Below are 20,441 nucleotides of genomic sequence, written 5' to 3'. Positions count from 1 at the left end.
GCCAGTAGCCTGAGATCAGGTAAAGGGCAATGGTGCAGGTAATCTTGTCCTGTTACATTGGGGCAAGGAAAAAAAATAAGACGTTTCCATGTGTAACATGCTGAGACCCCATAAAGACTCACATGCCCAGAATTAACTCCCTAAGCCATGAACCACAGTGCCTAGGTTTCCATCCATCCCAGTCTCTTTTGTTCAAATCCAAGCTCTTCCACTTCATAGCTGCCTTGCTTGAGCAAGATACTTCACCCTTCTGAGGCACACCTTCCTATCTTTAAAATAGGACCATAATACCCAGTTCATAGGGTGCTCTCTGCCCCTCTGTGACAGGGCATAAATGGAGCTCTCCCAGTGCCGGGTACCTAGCAGGAGTACAACAAATGCTAACTCCATCCTTTTCCTTTGGTTGAAGAATTTCCTTCTCTGGGCTCATTTTCTAAAGTGGCCATGTCCAAAGAGGGAACATAGCATATTTAGATGCGTGCTTCTTACTAGAAGAAATAGGGCTTCAAAATACAACAAAACAAAACAAAATAAATACCATGAGATGAAACAAGCTGCATCTCAGCAAATTCCAAAGCCCAATCCCTGTCTTATCTTGCCCTTAACTGCCTTGACTGTGAATTTGAGACTGGAGTATTTTGAAACCTAAGAATGACTCCACCAAGGTTCTTTTTAATAAAAAACACAAAAAACAAAAACAAATAAAAAATTCAATGGGACTTCTAGCTGCAGGTAAAGTAGCAGGTTTACAGGTAAGGAACATGCCTGGAAAGGGAATGGAAAGAGGCAGGGAGGGGTGGATTCAGCCCCATTGCCACTGTGGCAGGCTTCCCAGGTTCCATGGGCTCCAGGAATCCCTAAAGAGCTTTCTTCTTATGACTTGGACAAGTGTAATGGAGACTTTGACTTCTAAGTAATTGCATGTGATATAGTATTAAGTACTGAGGCTTAATACTCAAAAGAATAAGCATATTTTATGCCAAACACACTTCAATTTCAGCCATGCAAGTTATGACTGAAGGTTGGAAATGGTCAGTGTCAGCTCCAGAACTTGATGATATGGTGGTTCTACCTGTATTTGTAGAACCACTGGATGAGTAGATAACATTTCAGAAGATGCTGTCTGAAAAAGTAATTTCTATATTCTCTACACACTGAAGAGGAACACGTCATTCCTAGAACACAACAGGCCACTCTTTCTTGAGGGTGTCCCTTATCAACCACTCATTGCTCTGGCACAATGGCACGAGAACAATGGACTCGGCTCAGATCAAGGTCCCAAATTGCCTATTGCTGGAGGCGCTGCCTCAGAGAAGTCTCTCACTTTTTTTGAGTCTCCTCTTCTTAGCTATCAAACTGAGAGATGGACACCTATGTCTCTGCAGTCTTGTGAGAATTAAAAGATTGAGGAGGACAAAATAGTTTCATGAATCCCAAGTGAAATGATAATCCATTTCTCTTGGGATAACAAGGGAAGCAGCTTTAGAGAGTGATGTGACTCTTACATCCTTGGTTCAGCCCCAAGGTGGAGAGGTGAGGAACCAAATTCTACTTTGCCTGTGGACTTTATGGACTGCACATGAAGAGGGAGCTACTGGTTGATGAGACAAACAGGAAAATTTTCTTCAGCTGGCAGGGTTTAGATACAGTTGTACTCAGAATAGTATTAATATTCCCCTCAAGAGACAAATATGCAGATATCTGATTCAGTAGGACCTGTGCTTAAAGGACCAGGTGAGTCTGCACTCACATTGAGGGTGAAATGACAGGAAACCCCTTCCCTGAAAATCCACCCTGCAAGACTCTTTTCTGGAGTTGTTCTTGGGTGTCAAAGAGCAACAATGACATCAGGAACTGTTCCTATTAGAATGATGCCAGCTTGGGAAAGGCTAGGGAGAGGGAGTGGATCCAGGAAAAGAGATGCCCTTTCATATTAGGAGAAAAGGTGGAGAGGAATCTGATAAGTGGGTAAAGATTAAAGACCGCAAAGGACAGGCTACTTTAGGGAAAGATGGCAGGGGAGCCAGGACAGGATGTGGAGGCTCCCAAGCAGATGTCAACATAGAGGATATTATTATAGAAGCTCCCTGTGGGCTCTGTAGAAATTCTGATGTTGGGAGCCCTCTAGTCCATTCATGTCTGCCTTTTTTCAGCTGTACCAGCATTCACCAAAGGATTCATATAGATTGTTAGTCCTCTTAAAATCTTTATCTTTAATGCCAGACAGTAGTGAAATTGCATTAAAAAAGGACAAATTGTCATGTCACTAATTAAATGATCACTTATAAAGTGAATTCCTACTCAGATATCCCCCCGCTGCTTAACACTAGTGTTGAAAAGAAATAATTAACACTTGACTTAGCCAAAATAACACACAGGCACAATTATAATTTTGTTAAATGTAAGATATAATTAGCATGCTTTTATAATTTAATATTTTTCTTAATAGTATTCTAAAAATCTACCAAGAAATTTTGCTATTTTGCTTTTCTGAAGACTCATTTTGTAGACAGCCTTTCTTCTGTAAAAATTATGTTTAAATAACAGGGTCCTTGAATACTGTCCAGCCTGGAATGGTGGTTTTGAGGGAGACCTAACTGATCCTCCCATTTTCCTGTGGGCCATCCTGGAGAGGAACCTTGTCTTCTGGAAAGGGCCACTGCCTAGAATTCTAGGCAAAAGTAGTCAGTGTGAAGCTGTGAGCAGTGCTCACCCACAGGGGCAGAGAGAAGACCATAGGATTCTGGAAACAACAAAGACCCCACCTCCTGCTCCATCCTGTGTGTCAGGGAGGCCTCACTCTGAGAAGACAGAGGCAGTGGACATCTGGCCTGCATGGTTCAGGTTCAAGACCCAGGCATGAGGCTGTGCTCACCTTGTCAATGGGAAGAAGCCTTTCTTGATCAAATCTGTCTATTCTGGGAGAATTCTGGAAGGCTCTGGGAGGTTCCTAGGATCAGCTGTCAGGGAAAACCACATATTAAGGACAATGCAAGTTACTTAAGAGGAGGCTTCTCTCCAGAATAGAAATAGACCCTGGTCACCTGTTACTCAGGGAATCTGTTACTCAGGGAAGGTATGCTGCTCAGGGTTGGATTGTTTGTAAAAAAGAAGGAGAAGAACAAAGACCAGTTCTTTAAAGACTGGATCTGACTATATAAGGCAGCTTCAGGTGTCTGCCATACACATGGCTATTTGAAAAGGAAAAGGCCTCCACCCATCTTTCCTAGGGAAGTTACCACGTTCTGCCGATAAAACCAGGCCCACCATGCCAGCCTCTGCAGACTAAATAGGGGATGATTTCCACATTGAAGGAGGCTTTACTCAGGCCCCATCACCTCTTAGGTCACCGAGTGTGACTTCTGCTCAGAGAGGGTCCCATGTGCTGCACAGCATCAAACCAACCCACAGCAGCCCTCTCTGAGCTAGCACATATGCTGAGGAGGAAAACAGGTCCCTGAGGCTGAGGTGCTTGTCCTGTACACAGGAGATAAGATGCTAAATGTCTATGAGGCCTTCTCTATCTTACAGTCATTGGAAAGCTGGGGCCCATGGTGCCGGGGGTCTGATGAAACAGCATCCCACCCTGCCTCACACTCCCCAGTAATAAGTCTGCATCATGGAAGGAGCCTTGCATAGATTAGATGCTTAGTAAATATTTTCCCAGTGAATGGCTCTAAGAAATTCACCTAATATAGATGCCCAGGTCCTAGGAGTGGGCAGTCAAATCTTTCAGCATGCTCTGAGGAGGGGAGAAGATACTGAGAAGCTTGGGAGAGAGGGAACAGAGGCTACTATCCAATCACTAATTATTACAAAAGCTACCAAAATGTGTGTCATATGCTGGCCCTTTAGATGTTTGGAGTGAGAGTTTATGGCTGTTTTAAGATATGATGCCTTCTCTCCAGGAACTGTGCTCACTTGGGCATCAGCATTGCTGAAGGCCTTGATGTTCAACCAAGAGTCTGTCCTAAGCATAGTTATAAACAGGCATATGAATGCACTTTGTCAGTAACTTTAATAAAGCAGCTAAAGTCAGACTAGATTACTTAAAGATGATATATCATAAGAGGATGAATTTAAAGAAGTAAGTCTCTTGATAAACTTGTTGCTCTCTCACAATTCTTACCTGCTGTTAGTCACTGCTTAACCAAAAGCTAGAAATATCACAAGACTTGAATAAAACACCAGAGCCCTTGTCCTGGAATAAGATTTCTATATTACCACCATAAATTCAGGTTTTACCTTTTGTTTTTTTATTTTTGAGACAAAGTCTTGGTTCTGCCACCCAGGCTGGAGTGCAGTGGCACGATCTCTGCTCACTGCAACCTCCGCCTCTGAAGCTCAAGTGATTCTTGTGCCTCAGCCTCCAGGATAGCTGGGACTACAGTCATGCATGCATCACCATGCCTGGCTAATTTTTGTATTTTTAGTAGAGATGAAGTTTCATCATGTTGGCCAGGCTGGTCTCAAACTCCTGGCCTCAAGTGATCTGCCCGCCTTGGCCTCCCAAAGTGCTGGAATAATAGGCATGAGCCACCATATCTAATCTTGCCTTTTAATTGTATTTTTTTATTTGTCAGCAACACTTTCTCTTTTTAGACACTTTCTCTTGGACTTAAGTTTTCCTTTAATTCTGAACAGCTACACTTTATGGGGTAAATCAGCGAGCATTTTGTATAAGCTAGAATTATTCTATCTGCACACTTGCCATAGCTGTACAGTCAGCCAAGAACTAACACTACTATAGTCTTAGCCAATGGCATTAGGGTGAGGAACAAGAAAACTAGGAGCTCCTCTTAGCCGAGCATTGCTTAGTTGGCACCAAACAAAGAACCCTAGGTCTTTTCTGACATTTGTGCTAAGAACAGAATAGAAACTTCTACCTCTGCCAGCTCTTTCTTGGAGAAGAACAATGATCTTCCAAGTGTGGGTGGTATACTTCAGAGAGTTTATCTCTTTCTCTTGTGCCGCCAGCCTGCTGCTCTATGAAGGAGAGGGCAGGTGGGAGGAACTGTCTGTGGAAAAACCCAGGTCATCCTTTGAAGGGTGCAACTCAATCTTTATTACCACTGGAGTCAGCAGAGAGGAAAGATATCCTCACTAACTGCATGATAGTGAATTGTACAAGTTGGCAATATTCTGATTAAAGCTGTGAAATTCCTTCCATTCCAGCTAAATTTACCAGTCTTTAATGTGAACAAGTATCTCCTTGTTCCCTGATAAGAACAAGGTGAAGAAAACGTTCTAATCAGCTTTCACAGTTCCCTCTCCTTTCTCCATCAATCATGTCCTAGTTCTCTGGAGATCAGAATACCACAGTTTTTCAATTATTGGCAGATATTATTCTGTATTGTTGCACAACCCTTGTCTTGCAAATCCCTTTTTTATGTGTTTATCTTTTCTCCCCATTTAGTCCATAAACTCTTTGAGAGCCCAACTGGGACAAGGTCCATAGTAGGTGCTCTATAAATGCCTGTTGCATTGGCTGTGATTCTCCCAGACTTCAACAAGGCACAGAAAACAAGGGGAAATGACGTATTACTCCTGGGAACTACTCTGTATTTTATCTTTGACAGTCTAGACATGGCTGAGCCTACTACCCAGTGTAGACTTAATCTGATATATTGAGACTAGGATTCTGAGATCACAGCTAAAATATTTTCTTCAAAAGGACCCTGAAAAATACATGAATGCAGAACTCACTTATCAATGCTGCTGATGGAAAGTTAAATGTATAATCTCTAAATGAAGCCACAAAAAGCCTATGATGATGGAATTGGAGGCACTATGGCAGTCGTGGGAGGTTGACAGAAAATTGTGGTTGAGAGAAAAAATGCTTCCTGTCTCCTCTGAAAGCACACTATGGAGGGGGTAGCTGCCTCTTCTCCACCCACTGTAAGTCAGCTGTGCATCACTCATTCAGTTCTGCAGCAGAGAGTGATGAAGACAGTGAGAAGGCCATGTGGAAGTTAGCAATCCTGGCTTGGTTAAAGATACAGCCCAGCCTCTCATCAAAACAAGATTATCTCCAGTTGTTCTGCCCAGCTGCTGCAACCTTACAGACTAAGCTATAAGCAATGCCCAGGTACTGGGAACATGGTCAGTCTCAGAAATCTGAGGTCAGTCTGACTGAGGTCAGTCTGCCTTAAGCACACTATTAAATAATAATGCTGGTTGCTACCTTTAATTGTTGAGCTATTCTCTTCTAGGCAGTAAGTTATGTGATTTTCATACTTGATTTCAAATTCTCAAAATAGATATTAATATCCTTATTTGAAAGGTAAGAAAACTGAGGGTCAGAAGGGTTGAGAAAACTGAGGGTCAGAAGGGTTGAGAAAACTGAGGGTCAGAAGGGTTGGGTAAATTGCTTATCACAGAAAGTTTTGAGCCTGGAGTATTGGACCTCTTGACCTGTCTGACTTCAGTGCTCTTTCAACTACTGGTCATCATGTAACTATTCTGTGTTTTCATATGTCATTCTGACTACCACAACTAGAGTTCTCTTTCCAAGTCTCTTCCATCAACACCTGGGTGAATCTGAGATTTCTGTTCCCCAGCCTCTCATACCAGTATCATTAACAATGTGAAGAAACAATGGAGTCATGTAGGTCATAGAAGACAATGGCTTTCAATTGAGTTTTAGTTGTCTGCATAAGGAAATTACTTCCTGGCTTGTGGGAAATCTTGCCAGGCAACCCACAGTAGGACCTTCAAAGTTTCAACTTGAAATCAGAGGCAAGATTCTTTGCAATATGTCTCATGATCTACCGCCCTGCCCTGCTTTCCAAGGGCCTGAAGTCACCTGCTCAGTCACTATGAAGACCCAAGGCAATGACCACAAGCTTTTGGCTGCCTGAAATAATGTCTGAGCACAACAGGCTTCTTGCCCCCAAATCATGGACTGTTGGTTCTAGATTGTCCATGGGAGATCAGAGCAAGTCCCTTGGTACAACTTCTCTTTGGGGATGTCAACTCCATCTACAACTCCGTCTTCGAGAACATGTCCCTAACACAGCCCCTGCCAAGGAGGCAGCAATGCATGTGATGGTGTCCTTCCTTATCACGAATGATTGGCCCAACTGTAGACAGCAGTTTATAGGAAGCCCATTTGCCAGCCAGCAACCTCTGTATGACATGTGTGGTCTGACTTGAAATTAGGACCTAGAAAATGGCCTCTTTCATCAAGAATTTGAACTAAGAAATCCTCAGAGAAGTTAGAATTTAGCTATAGACACTAGATATTTAAGACTTTGTAGACCCAGAGTATGGAAGAGAGAGTTCATGTTCCCCAAACATCCCTGTACTCTCCTACATGCCCCTGCCTCCCTTGCAACTGAGTTGCAGTCACATGACTAGTTCTGGCCAGCGGACCATGAGCAGCACTGAGTTGTTTCACTTCTGGGCCAGCGCAGTTAAAAGCAGTTGTGCCTTTTCCATCGTTTCCTCCCCTTCCCTTTGGCCATATGTTCCAGATGACATAGTTATAAGATGGAAGCAGCCTGAAGCTCTGAACCATGCCTTAGGAGAGATCTGTCCTGGAAAACCAACAACCCACACCAAGCTTTGCAAGAATGACAAATAAACTCTTATTTTATTATACCATTGAGACTTGGAAGGTCATTTGTTATAAAGTGTAACTTGGGCTATTCTGACTAGTATACAGAGCCAAAGCCATTATGAAGCTCACACAGGGAAACTAGCTGGGAGAAAAAACAAAAGACACAAATGAACAAAGGAAATTTGAGAACCATGAGAAAGAGGCATATAAGAGTTGCCCAACCTGGGAGCGACTTCAGTGTCTGTCCAACCTGATGTCTAGTGGTGGTTCAGCTTTTCCTGAATTCCTATGAGATGCATACAAACATTTTAATGTACATGTACACTGGCATATGCAGTAATAACCAATATGAATATTACTATTACTGCTTGGTGACTAGCTGATAAAATAATAATGGGTAAGTCTATGGCCAGCATGAAACTATGCAGTCCACTGGAGGGTAGGGAAAAGGAGTAGAGGACAGAACTCAAATTTACTGAGTGCCTATTATGTACCAGGAACATGGCTTCATTTATTCTTATACAAATCCTAATAAAGTAGACATTATCAACCACATTTTACAAATAAAAAAATAGTTAAAGGACATGTAACCAATAGTTCCCAACATCATGAGTGAGGCCCACCCAGTGTGACCCCAGTGTACCAGGTGCTTCTTTCCAACCAGGGTCTCTACAGCCTTGCCCTTCCCTCTGCTTTGCACACAGGCCTGTAGTGATATATCCTAATTACAAGGGACAGCAACAATGCTACCAATAAAGGCAGGCTTGACTTCTTCTCCAGGAGCATGAGGGCACAACATGAGCATGGAAGGGTGATTGTACTCACACATGGGCATTGGAGCCATTATGAACCATCACTTCAGGATTTACGGAATCTTGCCAACACTCTACAGCAGCCTTCTGGCTGATGATGCGTCTCCCGGCGTGTTAGAACGTGAGCCTCACAGCCCACCTCTGCTGTACACATGCGTGAAATTATTCTCCACCCACAGACAGGATTATGCGTGTGGCCCACACACAGCCTGGATCCTCAGTGGGCTGTGTGGGAGGCTGGGTAATCAGTACATTTAGGAAAGCAAAAGAAAGTAAAGCCTTCTAGTGACTGCAAACTTACATTTTTCTATCACCAAGTCATGTTTTGAAGAGAACTTAAGGGAATCCCACAGTGTTCAGTCCTTCCCTTGTATCTTTTGAGTTTAAAAGTGAATGCTGAACGCAACATTTTAAATCATTTTCTTGATCACTGCCTTATGTTAATAAGTGGAAGATAAGGTAGCATTGCCATAGGGATGCAGATGGTAATTGTAATACCTTGATACAGTCCACAGCCAAGGGGATTGGGATCGGAGCAAACTCTACATTTTATGGTGGAGGGGAGGGAGAAGGAGGGAAATAATAGAAAAATGTCCTGTGTCAAGTCAAGAAGGAAAGGAGTTCACAGCAATAGATGAGGGGAGTCATCAGGATAAATAGACGGTTAGGACTTTCAGAAAAAAGGAATTTACAAAAGTTGCATGGTTCAAAAAAAAAAAAAAGAGAAATGCAACTTACAGAGGATAATGTTGGATTTTAAAAAGGGTAATCCAGCCCATGTATGTAGGCAAGAGTTTCTACGATAAATAGAAGGGAAAAAACTCTATGTGACCTCCCAGGAGGAGGGAAAACGAAGGAGAAAGAGGATGGCCAACATCCAGCATTGCCAGCCATTGCCCTGCAACACCTGATTACCCACTGCCAGAGAAAGTAGGTCATGAGGGCATGTGCTGCTGCCTCAGGAACATCTTACAGGTGACCCAGAGCCTGGCCAACAGAAGCTGATCCAGTCTCCTAAATCCATCTTTGACTCCTGCATTCAACTTACCCCTTAACCTGTGACTGCCATTTTCTTCAGGGTTGGCAAATAGATTTTATCTGCTGTACCAGCTCTAACTGAACCTGAAGCATTACACTGAGAGGAATTCTGTAGCAGAAATGCATCCAACTATAAATATAGCTTCTCACTCTGTCTTGCAGACAGAGGGACTATGGGACCCAGTTCTTGCCAATGAGATGAAAGTAGCAGCAGTTTGGAAGTTGTAGTGAGTTGAATAGTGGCCCCCTGACAAAATAGGTCCACATCCAGGCTGCTGTGAATGTGTTCTTCTTTGGGAAAAGGGTCTCTGCAGATGTATTTTAGCTGAGAATCTAGAAACAAGATCATCCTGGATTATCCAAGCTGGCCTTCAATTCAATGACAAGAGTCCCTATAAGACACCAAGGAGAGATGCATGGAGAAGAGAAGGCCATGTGAAGATGGAGGCAAAGATTAGAGCAATGCAGCCACAAGCCAAGGAATGCCTGGAGTCACCAAAAGCTACCAGAAGCCAGGAAAAACTTTCCCCTAGAGCCTTCCGGGGACCCAGTCCTGCTCCCCAGAGTTGAGAGCACAGAATCAATTTCTGTTGTTTTAAGCCATGCAGTTCCTGGTAATTTGTTACAGCAGTCCTAGGAAGCTAATATAGTAGGACTTCTAGGAGAGCTCCTTAAAAGCTGACAACTACTCTTTCACTCTTCTATTAAAATCTGCCCTAAGAGAGAAAACTGCAATTGGGTGAGATTGAGCCACATACGGACCAGCAGATTCTCATGTCCTTCTCTGGACTGTGGCATCTGGCACGCACATCACCAGGCTCTCCACCTCCATCCATGCCTCTCACCACCTCCCATGTCCGTGTGTGATCTCACCTTTAAGTATGTTGGGCCTGTGGGAGAGGCCTGGATTTGTGATCTGGCCTGGACAGTGTCTCCACTTTTCTTTTTGACATGGCTGTCCAGTCAATTTTAGCTCTCACCCCTGCTCCTAGGGAAGCATTCAGACTCCTAATGCTCTCACATAAAATAACAAACTTTCAGGAGCACAAAGTCTAGCTCAGTAACTCAGATCCCATAGAATAAGATATTTGGAAACCAGATGGGAGGCAGACAACAGACTTCATGTCTACCATAAAACAGTGAACTGCATTCAGGGAAGATTACATGTTTGAGTATTTAGTAATTGCTTCTAAAGCCGGGGGAATGAATAAAATCTCCAGCCAAAAAAAATTTACTGCCTTCAAAATAGTAAATATGCAATGTCTATACATTTCCAAACTAACATATTTTGATTAAGCAATTAATGTCACTATATAGCTCTTTCTCTGTCTCCCTCAGTCTTGCTGAAGGATTTAACATCAAACAATTCAACAGTGACAGCTGGTGAGAAATCAGCTTTGAGATTTCTCATTAAAAGTAATGCTGTGTTAGTAGCCAAGTACTTGTGAAATGTTAAAATTTAATGGTGTGGAAAAGGCTTATTCTAACTTTGCAGATTGTACCATCTTTGCAGAAGTTGGTAGAAGATTACAACTTGGATTGTGGAAGGCCTGGTGTAGTTACAAAAATGACAGGAATTTGCAGAAATAGGTGTCTACCAGGTTGTAGAAGTATCCACCTGAGTTGTGATACTTACTGTGGTTTGCTTTGTGGCATTCTTGAAACCTCCAATTAGCTCTCCTGCTTGCATAAAATAAAGTTTTTTTGTTTTGTTTTGTTTTTTGTCTCTGCTTCTTCACTCTACAGTCTCACCATTTTTGGCTGTTATGCTGAATAGACAGATTTATTCAGCTTGTATTATCTCCCCAATGCTGTTTTCAGGAATACTCTGTCCAATGTCTTATATCATGGCATTGTATAGGCATTTACAAAATTCATTTCTCTGGGACGAATAGCAGGAAATAAACTTTCATTTGTATTTTAGATGGAGAACAAAAATACGAGAACTCACATCCAATGTAATCAAAGCTGCCCATTTGCATTTGGGGGAAATAATTACATTCTTTATCTCCTAATCTTAAATCACTTACTGAAAACTCCAAACACCTGTGACAATAAAAATGTACAACTACACAAATTATTCAATGGATCCCATCTGTAGATTTTAATATCAGCACCTTCCAGCCTAGTAACTGCACTGCAATTGACGCTAGTTGAGAGGAGGAGGTAATACGTGGGCTCTCTGACCGCCCCCATCATTTTCTTTTCTAAAATTCGAAAGCACATGGAGTGGGAACAACATGGTTTCATATACAACTATGTATGCATTTGAATGATTTGTGTGATTTTTACCTAATGTTTCATATTAGTATGTCTTATCTCCTCAACTTGATTGTAAGCTCTTCAAGGGCACATAGTTAGAGCTGAAGTATATTGGCTGCTGTGAGCATTATTATCATCAAGGTGATCGCAAGAAAAATGGTAGGCTGAAAGTAAAGCAGGGGGTGCTGTAGCAAGCCAACAGAAAATCCAAACCAAATGGCTGCTAAATCTCTCAGTTTAAAAGTAGGGTAGAGAGAGGACAGGACCACTGTGCTTGGAGACAGGCAGTCCCTAGTCCCAGTACTTCCATTCTGTGATCTTCCATAAGTCACCCAAACCCTCTGAGGCTCAGCATCTTCATGTATAAAGTGAAGGTAATAATATAGTTGTTATTATATTAGAAAAATATATGTAAAGCCCCTGGCACATTATCAATACTCAAAAAGTGTCCACTCATTTGACAAAATAATTCTATAATATTGTACCCAATATTGGGGCTGGGAGAGTTCTGAGAGCTAAGCTGGTCCAACACCTGTTCTTATAGTGAAGAAACCAAGGCTTAGAGAAAGGAGTTGATCTGCACCCAAGTTTAGTCAGGAATTTGCCCACTCAGAGTTAATGGCAGAGCAAGAACTAGAACCCAGCGGGCTACACCAAGGCTGTGGCTATAGCTACTCTGCCTACTGCCTCTTTCATGTCTCTTCACACGGAACCCTAATTCCAAGGGGATATGAACTCCTTCTTTTTATCTTTTCTTCCCCACAGCACAGCCTCCTATTCCAGACGAAGAGATCACAGAGCCCTTGTGAGATAAAATAAGATCAACTCTGAATCAGGAGCCTGGGGCAACTGCCAGGCTTCCCATATGGGCCACATCTAGCTTTGGGCATTTTCAAAAGAGGCTTTGATGGATCTCTATCTGCAGTGAAGCACATGACCAGCTAATGTTCCCAGCTGATGTGGTCCTGGTTCATGACCTAGAAGAATTCTTCATAACTATCTCCAGGAGTAGTCATGAGAATGGGGACAAATCATTAAACAAAACACAATAGCAGGAAAGCACTCCCGCCAAGATATTCTCTCCCAGCACCTTACTTCCAGTGCCACAAAATCTACCAACAGAGCTTCATCCCTTCCAAGGATGACATTTATCCTCTGGCACGTCACAAATGCTCTTGAGAGATGTAACATATTATAAACCATTAATACCAATTGAATTATCGGAAACCTTCCACTGCAAAAGCTGGGAACTTCTAAGCAGAACATGATTTGCATTAGATAGAATTGGCCAGAGAGGGAAACAGGAAGCAGTCAGAAGCAGTATTAGTTATGCCCTCTGCTGTTTGGGGAGCTGGGGACAGCATGAAACCACTGGACACTGAAGAGAAAATGAGATTTCAGGATCAGGAAGGCATGAGGATGATGAAGCAGAGAACTCTAAAACTGGGCTTTGCAGTCATTTGGTAAAATCAAATTACTTTCCCTTAGAATCTTTTCTGAGAAAGGCGCTCTTGTTTTTCCAAGAAGCTGAGTAAATCATCATCCAGTGTCCTTAAATTTCCTCTTCTACCCATTGTGCTTTATCTCCTAGGAGAGCAACTTGACAAAACTGCACAATCACTGCAAACAAGAGCCCATCACAGACAAACAAACAGCTACCCACTCACCAACAGTGTGGGTGCCAGCTTGTAACTCAATTACTTGCGCGTCCTAACACTAATTTACGGGGTTTGGAATGGCTGTCACCGTCCTTGAAAACATAGCACTAAAGAGACACAGATGTTCGTCACTGGTCACTGACATGGTCCCAATACCCCAGGTGTTTGCTTCCAAGCACTCTTCCTCTCTCATTTTGTGCAGAAAATTTAGTGTCATGTGACCAATACTCATAATCAGGATGCAGGAAAAGTCTCCATACACTTTATGAGAACTGGGGATGTTTGTAGTTGGAATAGAATAATAGTAGTTATGCCAAAGCCTGATCCAAATTATTATGTAGGATAGAAAATGCATGACGTGATCAGAAGTGGAGTAATTGTAGATAGCCAACTGCTTCCTCCAGTTCTCCACTAATGGCACTGAGCTTTCCTGGGTTAAACATTCATATACAATGTCCCTGTTAACTACAGGTATGTAAGAGCTAAGTAATTTTTAATTTTGGATATTTGGCCTGAGGGCATCAAAGAATATGGTTAAGCAATCTGGAGTATCGAAATAAAGGAGGGCCATACCCACTTGACAAGGCAGCTTTTCAGAAACTGTCCTCCCCACGACAGTAGCTCCTGAAGAACTTTCAGAACAAAAGTCAATGTTATGAGTTATTATTTGTTCTACCACTCTATTAATATTCTCACTGCCATTAACGCTCCTAGCCCCCAGACATCCTTAATATATGAGCAGCTCTGGTACGGTGTTGAGGGAGAGACAGAACTAATCAGAAAGGGGTAGAGAAATTAAGTTAGTAGAATCTTTGTGAAAGACTCTTGAAGGGTTAAGAATACTACAAGACTCTCACAAGCTGAGAGCATCATGCCATCAATAAAATCTACTTAAAGTTCTATAATCAGTCTTGGTCTTAATTTAAGTCATTTTGAGACCTTGAAGTCCCACTGACTCCTGCTGGTTCCAGCAATGACTACAAAGCCCTGGCTGCAGTACGATCCTTGACGTATTATAACGTAATTTACGGAAAGTCAGTTTGCTATGAGTGAAACCTCTGACAAAGCAGAAGACAGTGTGCTCAACAGACTTCAGAAAATTGCCAATTTCCATATTCAAGGAGAGCCCCCTGACAGTATAACTTGGGGGCACAGACACTGGGGAGGGCTCTTGTCTGCTTTTTTTCCAGCCTTTGTCTGCCACTGCTGCTGCAGACTAAAGGATACACTATTAGTATTGCACAGCACCCTAGCTGTTTAATTTAGGCACTTATGATGTTACATTTTTAAATTAGAAAGAGTTTTGAGCACTGAACATTCCATTTGCTAATTTTTTTTTCCTTTCTTCCCTCTAGAGGTTCCTGTACCATTTGAAATAAAAATTCATTTCCTTGAATACATGGAATTGATGCTAATTAAAATGCCTGCAAGAGTTAAAGGAATCAGCCAGCCCCAGGAAAATATAAGGTCAGTTTTATTTTTCAAAGGGCATGGAGAAAAATTAAAATATCCTTAATTCAAGTCATAGATTTTATAGAATTTGAAGAGACTTTACAGCTCCTCTAGCAAAGTAGGAGAAAGGGCATGGTCTCTAAAGCCAGACAGACTCAGGTCTGACGCTTGGCTCTGCCCCTTCCTGAGTCTTTGACCTTAAATAAAGACAATTACCCTACTCCCCACCCCACTGGATTAGAAAAAAGATGTTTTTAGCAGGGAAGATCTGACTGTCAAATGTGTGTAGGATGTGTTTCTGTTTTACTTTGGCATTGGGGTTGAGGGTTAACGTCTGTTGAAATGAAAAGGATATTAGTGACAGAAAAATGAGTCCAAGTTCTATTAATGAGACGAATTTGAATTTCTCATATGGAACACATGGGCTGCTTTCAGAAGGAACTGTGTCCTCTCAGCCATGAGCTCTCCTATTTCAGATTCCCCCGGGCAGTGTTCCAACACGTTAGTCATTCCCATATTACCTCTGAGGGTTCTTGCCATATCTGGACTCTACTTGTATTTACTCCTGTTCTTTTTACTAGACTTTGAATAAACTCATTTTAACGACTTATCCTTAAGATACTACTACTTGTAACTTAGAAATAGTAGGTTTGACATACTAATTGTACATATTTTAACATACAGTTAAATACATACCTATAAATAGCCATGTTCACCTTATGCCATTCAAAATAATTTTGCACACTGGTCATTGGAAAATCCTTCTTTAGGGGAGAGATAGAGTGGAAGATCACCATGGTTTTTCCCCACCCCATCTTAAAATTACGAGATCTATGTCCCCAACCCTGCCACAGTGAAGAACAGTGAATGCTCAGGCAGAGCTCACCCCACCCTCTGCTAGCCCTCAGTCACTGGCATTAGGGGACATTGAAATTCAGCAAAGAATATGAAATGTGCAGAGGGGACCTAAACTCCAATATTGAAGGTAAGTGGGAAGGGGAGGGGAAGGAACCAGGGTACAAGTGAGAAGGGAAGAGAGGCTAAAGGAAGAGACAGCTAACTGGGGGGTAGGATGAAACAAGAAGGCAGTGAGGACACCTTCAGGCCATGGCGGGTACAGATCATTGCTGAGCCATCTCCTGGCTCCATGACCTGGTGCCATTGTTTATTACTTCAATTGTCATTTACTGGACTTTAAATACACTCCTTTCACAACTTAATTAATATCTGTGAAATAATGGCTCAGGGAGCAACCAGAGCAGGCGACACCCCTGCCCCACCGCACCCAAGGAAGCCTGGGCCGTGCTGCAGTTGAGGGAGTCAGTAACAAAATGGGCCTAAAGCCTCTCTCTCTCCCCACCTTCTCTCTCTCTGTCCAGCTCTGTAGCTCCCATTTGAATACCGTGCATAACAAAGGGCTTACATCCTCACAGGGGCCCAGATGGTATACCCACACTCTGGGGAAAGATAAATCTAGTGGCTTCCAAAAAAGCTGATCAGCACCCTCCATCCACTCACCCCTCATCCTTGTTCTTGGCCATCTGGCCAGCATGCTTAGCGAGGAGAACCCCTGAGGTAGGAGGAGCCAGGCAGCACGCAAGTCACCGTCCCTGGAGACTGAAATGCACCATGGAGGGAAGGAGTGGAGGAGCTTGCAGGAGGATTGCTGAGTCCCTTCTCAAGGTGGTGAGCACTGGATGAGCTTTCATTGTTCGTGGAACTCCCTCGTGTTGTAATTAACTTGCTCGAGTCCACAGGAATCAGGTTTGAGAGCAGGGATCAGACAGAGGTCTTCTGACTTCCAGCCTACTGCTCTCTGCAAAGTGACTTCACCTGATGGTTTCCCAAGGCTCATGCACCAGCCCGGCACACCCCGCAGTGGCTGGGAGCACAGTCCTGGGAAGAAAGACCTCATCAGTGGGCCTCCCAGCTCTGCAACCTTAGCAAGACCCTAAGCCTCTCTAACACTTAATTGCCCATGAATAAAATAAACACACCCCACTCTAAGCCTCCTTCCAGGAGAAACAGATAATGTTTGTCAATACTGAGTACAATTTAGTGAACACCAGCTTCTTCCCATGAAATGTTCAGTTCTCTGTGCCCAGGACTGAGAGCAAAACAGGGGCATGTCTCTCATCCTTACAGTTTTATCAAGAGGCTCACTTTTTTCCTGGCAGAATTATCCAGCATGTCCAAAAGTGTGTTCCCAAGTGATGACTGTGGGAGGATTCTTCAGTGAATTGAACAGTAAGACAGCATCCCAATTCCTAAACACTTCTAAGTAGGGCCAGGAGGTTTGAGGGGGCACACAATGCACTCTCAGGAGCCTCATAGTCTCATCAAGGATCCAGATGCTGAAGTATTCTCACAGCAGCCTTTGCAGACAGACTTAGAGGGTGGGGCTGATCCAACGGGCTGGTAGGGAATCCCAGGACCTGCTCTCTGTAAAGCTTCCTGGATTGAGGCACAGCCAGACTTGAATTAGAGAATCCTTACTTATTCAACAAACATTTACTGAGCATCTACTATGTACTGGGCATTGACTGGGGACTAGGAATACCACGAAGAATGGAGAAAATTAGACAAAGCAAATGGAAATTGCATTGTTGTATGGTGAGGCAATAAAAGCGAACACAGAGGCTATTGTTCCCATTCATAATGGAACTTTAAAACACAATATAACTTTTAAGTACATCATCAACAAAATCCCTAATGGGATATTGTTCCTTCTGTGTTTGTTTGAGGCTTTGTGTTTGGCCCTGAGGAACCACAGAAGGCCCAGAGTGGAGCTGTGGATGGCCCACGCCTTCTGCATTTCAATATCAAAGTGAGGAAATGTTTTCATTTCCTGAGTAATTTCAAAAAATGATTTCATAGAGAAGTGCAGCAAGTCAGCATAAACATTTTTTAAATGTCTTCAAACTGTACACAGATTTAGGTAATGAAATGTTCTGGGCTTCTGTGACTGCCACATACCGCCCAGGCAGGCTCTGGTGTTTTCTAGGAATTCCTTCCCCCAAGGAAGGCAGCTACTCACTGGCACGGCTCCCTGAAAGCAGTGGTCTGTTGGGTACAGCCAAGGAATGGGTGTCCAGGATGAGGGCTGCCTGTGTGTCTGGATTTTGCACTGCTTTGTTAAGGCTCAAGAGTCTGTTCAGGACATATTACCAAGGGTATGCTCTTCCAGCTGAGTCATCTCTCCCTGCCCGCAGCTGCTCTGTGTGGTCTGCCTCATGCTGTTGGGCACCTTATGTTTATCAAGCACTGATTATCCATCAGGCACCAGTCTCCATGTTTGTGCACAACAATCCTTACAGCAGCTTCATGAGGTTGGGGTCATTATCCCACGTTTAAAATAAAGAAATGGTGACTGGCTCTAGAAAGCCACCAACCTCCCCAGGGGACACAGTTGTCGACAGAGTCAGTCTGGGCCACTCCACCACATTATGTAGGAGCAGCCCAGAGTTCCTCAGAACTCCTCTACCCATCACCAGGCTACCTACATGCAATACACCTTCTCTTAGGATCAGATTCCCAGTTCCAAATCTGGCATTTGAAGGCCTCTAACTTCCTACCACAAAGCTCTGTTTTGACCCCCTGACCAGTAGTACCCTTTCCTGCCCCCGTACACCTCCTTTAATGGTCTATCTTGCCCTTACTATGTCCAGCCTGCTTCTGAGTCTTGATTCCTCACTTCAGAAACTTCACCCTAAGTTTGCCCTACCCTTCAAGGATCAGTCAGCCTCACTTCCTCCAGGAAGTCTTTCCTGGCTGGTGTAGCCCACTCTTCCCATGAGATTCACTGTTCCCTATTTTCTGTGTTAGTGTTGTGCCTCCAACAGGACTTACGCTCCCAGAATAAGGGGTCATGCTTCATCTTGCTTCCACCCACATCACCCGACATACACTAGACAGCATTAAGCAACTGACCTGCATTTGGCCATCCATTATTGATAGTACCTTTGTTTTTTCTCACTGATCTTCAATGTAGCAGATTCATCAATATAAAAGAGCTGAAAAAGGCCAGGCATGGTGGCTCATGCTTGTAATCCCAGTGCTTTGGAAGTCAAGGTGGGAAGATTGACAGAGCAGGATTATTGCCATCTTGGACAAGTATTATTTTAAAATTCACCTTAATCAAAAACCACCTAAATCCAAAGGGCATCAGCCTAATGGCTAAGGTCAGCATGACCATAAACCACAAATAACATCTCCAACCAGAAACATTCCAAATTCCTCCCCAAGCAGAGACATGCTTCCCCCAAGATAACCCCCCTTCAGCCGGGAAGATGCCAGCCCCGAGACAACCCACCTCCTGCCAGAAAGATATCAGCCCCAAGATAACCTCCCCTCCATCCAGAGACATTCCAGCTCCACCATAAATTTCTCCCCCACACAGAAACATTCCAAGCTTGTAATAAGCCCCCTCACCCTAAAACCAATATATACTCAGTCTGTTAAAAAAAAAAAAAAAAAAAAAAAAAAAAAGCCAATCCTAGCTGAAATCAGCCAGGAGCCCCTCTCAGGTTTTTTCTCTAAAATAAACCTTCCTTTAACTGTTAAGCCATGTTTTGTGTTTCTTTCCCCTTTCTTTAACTCTTACACAGATCACTTGAGCCCAGGAGTTTGAGACTAGCCTGGGCAACATGGTAAAACCCTATCTCTACTAAAAATACAAAAAATAGGCCAGGTATGGTGGTGCATGCCTGTAGTCCCAGCTACTCAGGAGGCTAAGGTGGGAGGATCACAAGACTGGGAAGTCACGTCTGCAGTAAGCCAAGGTTGCACCACTGCACTCTAGCCTGGACAATGGGAGCAAGACCCAGTCTCAAAAATAAATAAATAAATAAATAAATAAATAAATAAATAAATAAATAAAACCAGCTGAAAAGGAAGACCAAAATAGAGCACCCTCAAAAACACGGGGCTTTATTTCTTTACTGCTTTGGGAGTTTAGAGCCTGCTGAACTAATAGGTCCCCTTTTCCACTGGGCAGAACAAAAGGGCTTCCCTAGGACCACTTCCCTGCTGGAGAAGCTGGGTTGAGGCACAGACTTGAAGGCTGCACTGAGGGAGCCAACTCAGGTGTTGAACCAGGGCACTCAGAAGCCACATAATCCAAGGGTGAATCTGAATCTTGGCCAAGAAGGGAAGCCAGAGGTGAACTCCAAGAGACTAGAAGAATTAAGCTTGATTTCAAAGGGCACACAAGGCCACACAGAGAAAAATAAGGCCCAAATCAGAATCCCAAGAGATATGAACAAGTGAGACATGAGGTAAAAGGTGTGAGCCCTAGACCAGGTCTCAGTCAGCTTGTTTAATGGAGCTCCAGTTACATGAGCAGCCTCTAAGCTAGCAGGTCTTCAGGAAAGAGGGACAGAGACCAAAAGACTCAATGTGTTTTGCATACTTACATTTTTAGTTCCATTTTAATGTTTGTGCTTTTTTTTGTCTCAGTTGATTTAAATTTTTTTACATGCATTTTTTTCCACTTAAAAAACTTGGAACAAAGTATAAAGTTTTAGCAAATGTAAAATATTTATTTACTTTATCCAGTGAAATAAGTTGAAATTATTCAACTAAATTTTTAAAGAAAGAAAATATGAGAATGTGACAGATACTATGAAATTCTGTTTCAAGGTTTTGCCTCAGATATTC

At 43.0% G+C, this 20,441-nt stretch overlaps 1 protein-coding gene across 2 annotated transcripts in view; it reads right to left on the bottom strand.

Moving 5' to 3' along the window:
* CLSTN2 (calsyntenin 2) overlaps nucleotides 1–20,441 on the bottom strand; it is a 642,213-nt gene that overhangs the window by 468,155 nt on the left and 153,617 nt on the right. Inside the window, exon 1 of one of the 2 annotated variants that reach the window (XM_017007022.3) lies at nucleotides 16,302–16,639. The exons of the other annotated variant lie outside the window; for it this stretch is intronic. Within the exon in view, the coding sequence (XP_016862511.1) occupies nucleotides 16,302–16,335 (34 nt within the window). The 5' untranslated portion in view covers nucleotides 16,336–16,639. Of the gene's footprint in view, nucleotides 1–16,301; nucleotides 16,640–20,441 lie in introns of those variants that run through there. 2 annotated transcript variants of the gene reach the window in all.

This window comes from Homo sapiens, chromosome 3 (genome assembly GCF_000001405.40).
Source record: "Homo sapiens chromosome 3, GRCh38.p14 Primary Assembly".
Classification (NCBI taxonomy): Eukaryota; Metazoa; Chordata; class Mammalia; order Primates; family Hominidae; genus Homo; species Homo sapiens.
This window is presented reverse-complemented; position numbering and strand designations above follow the sequence as displayed.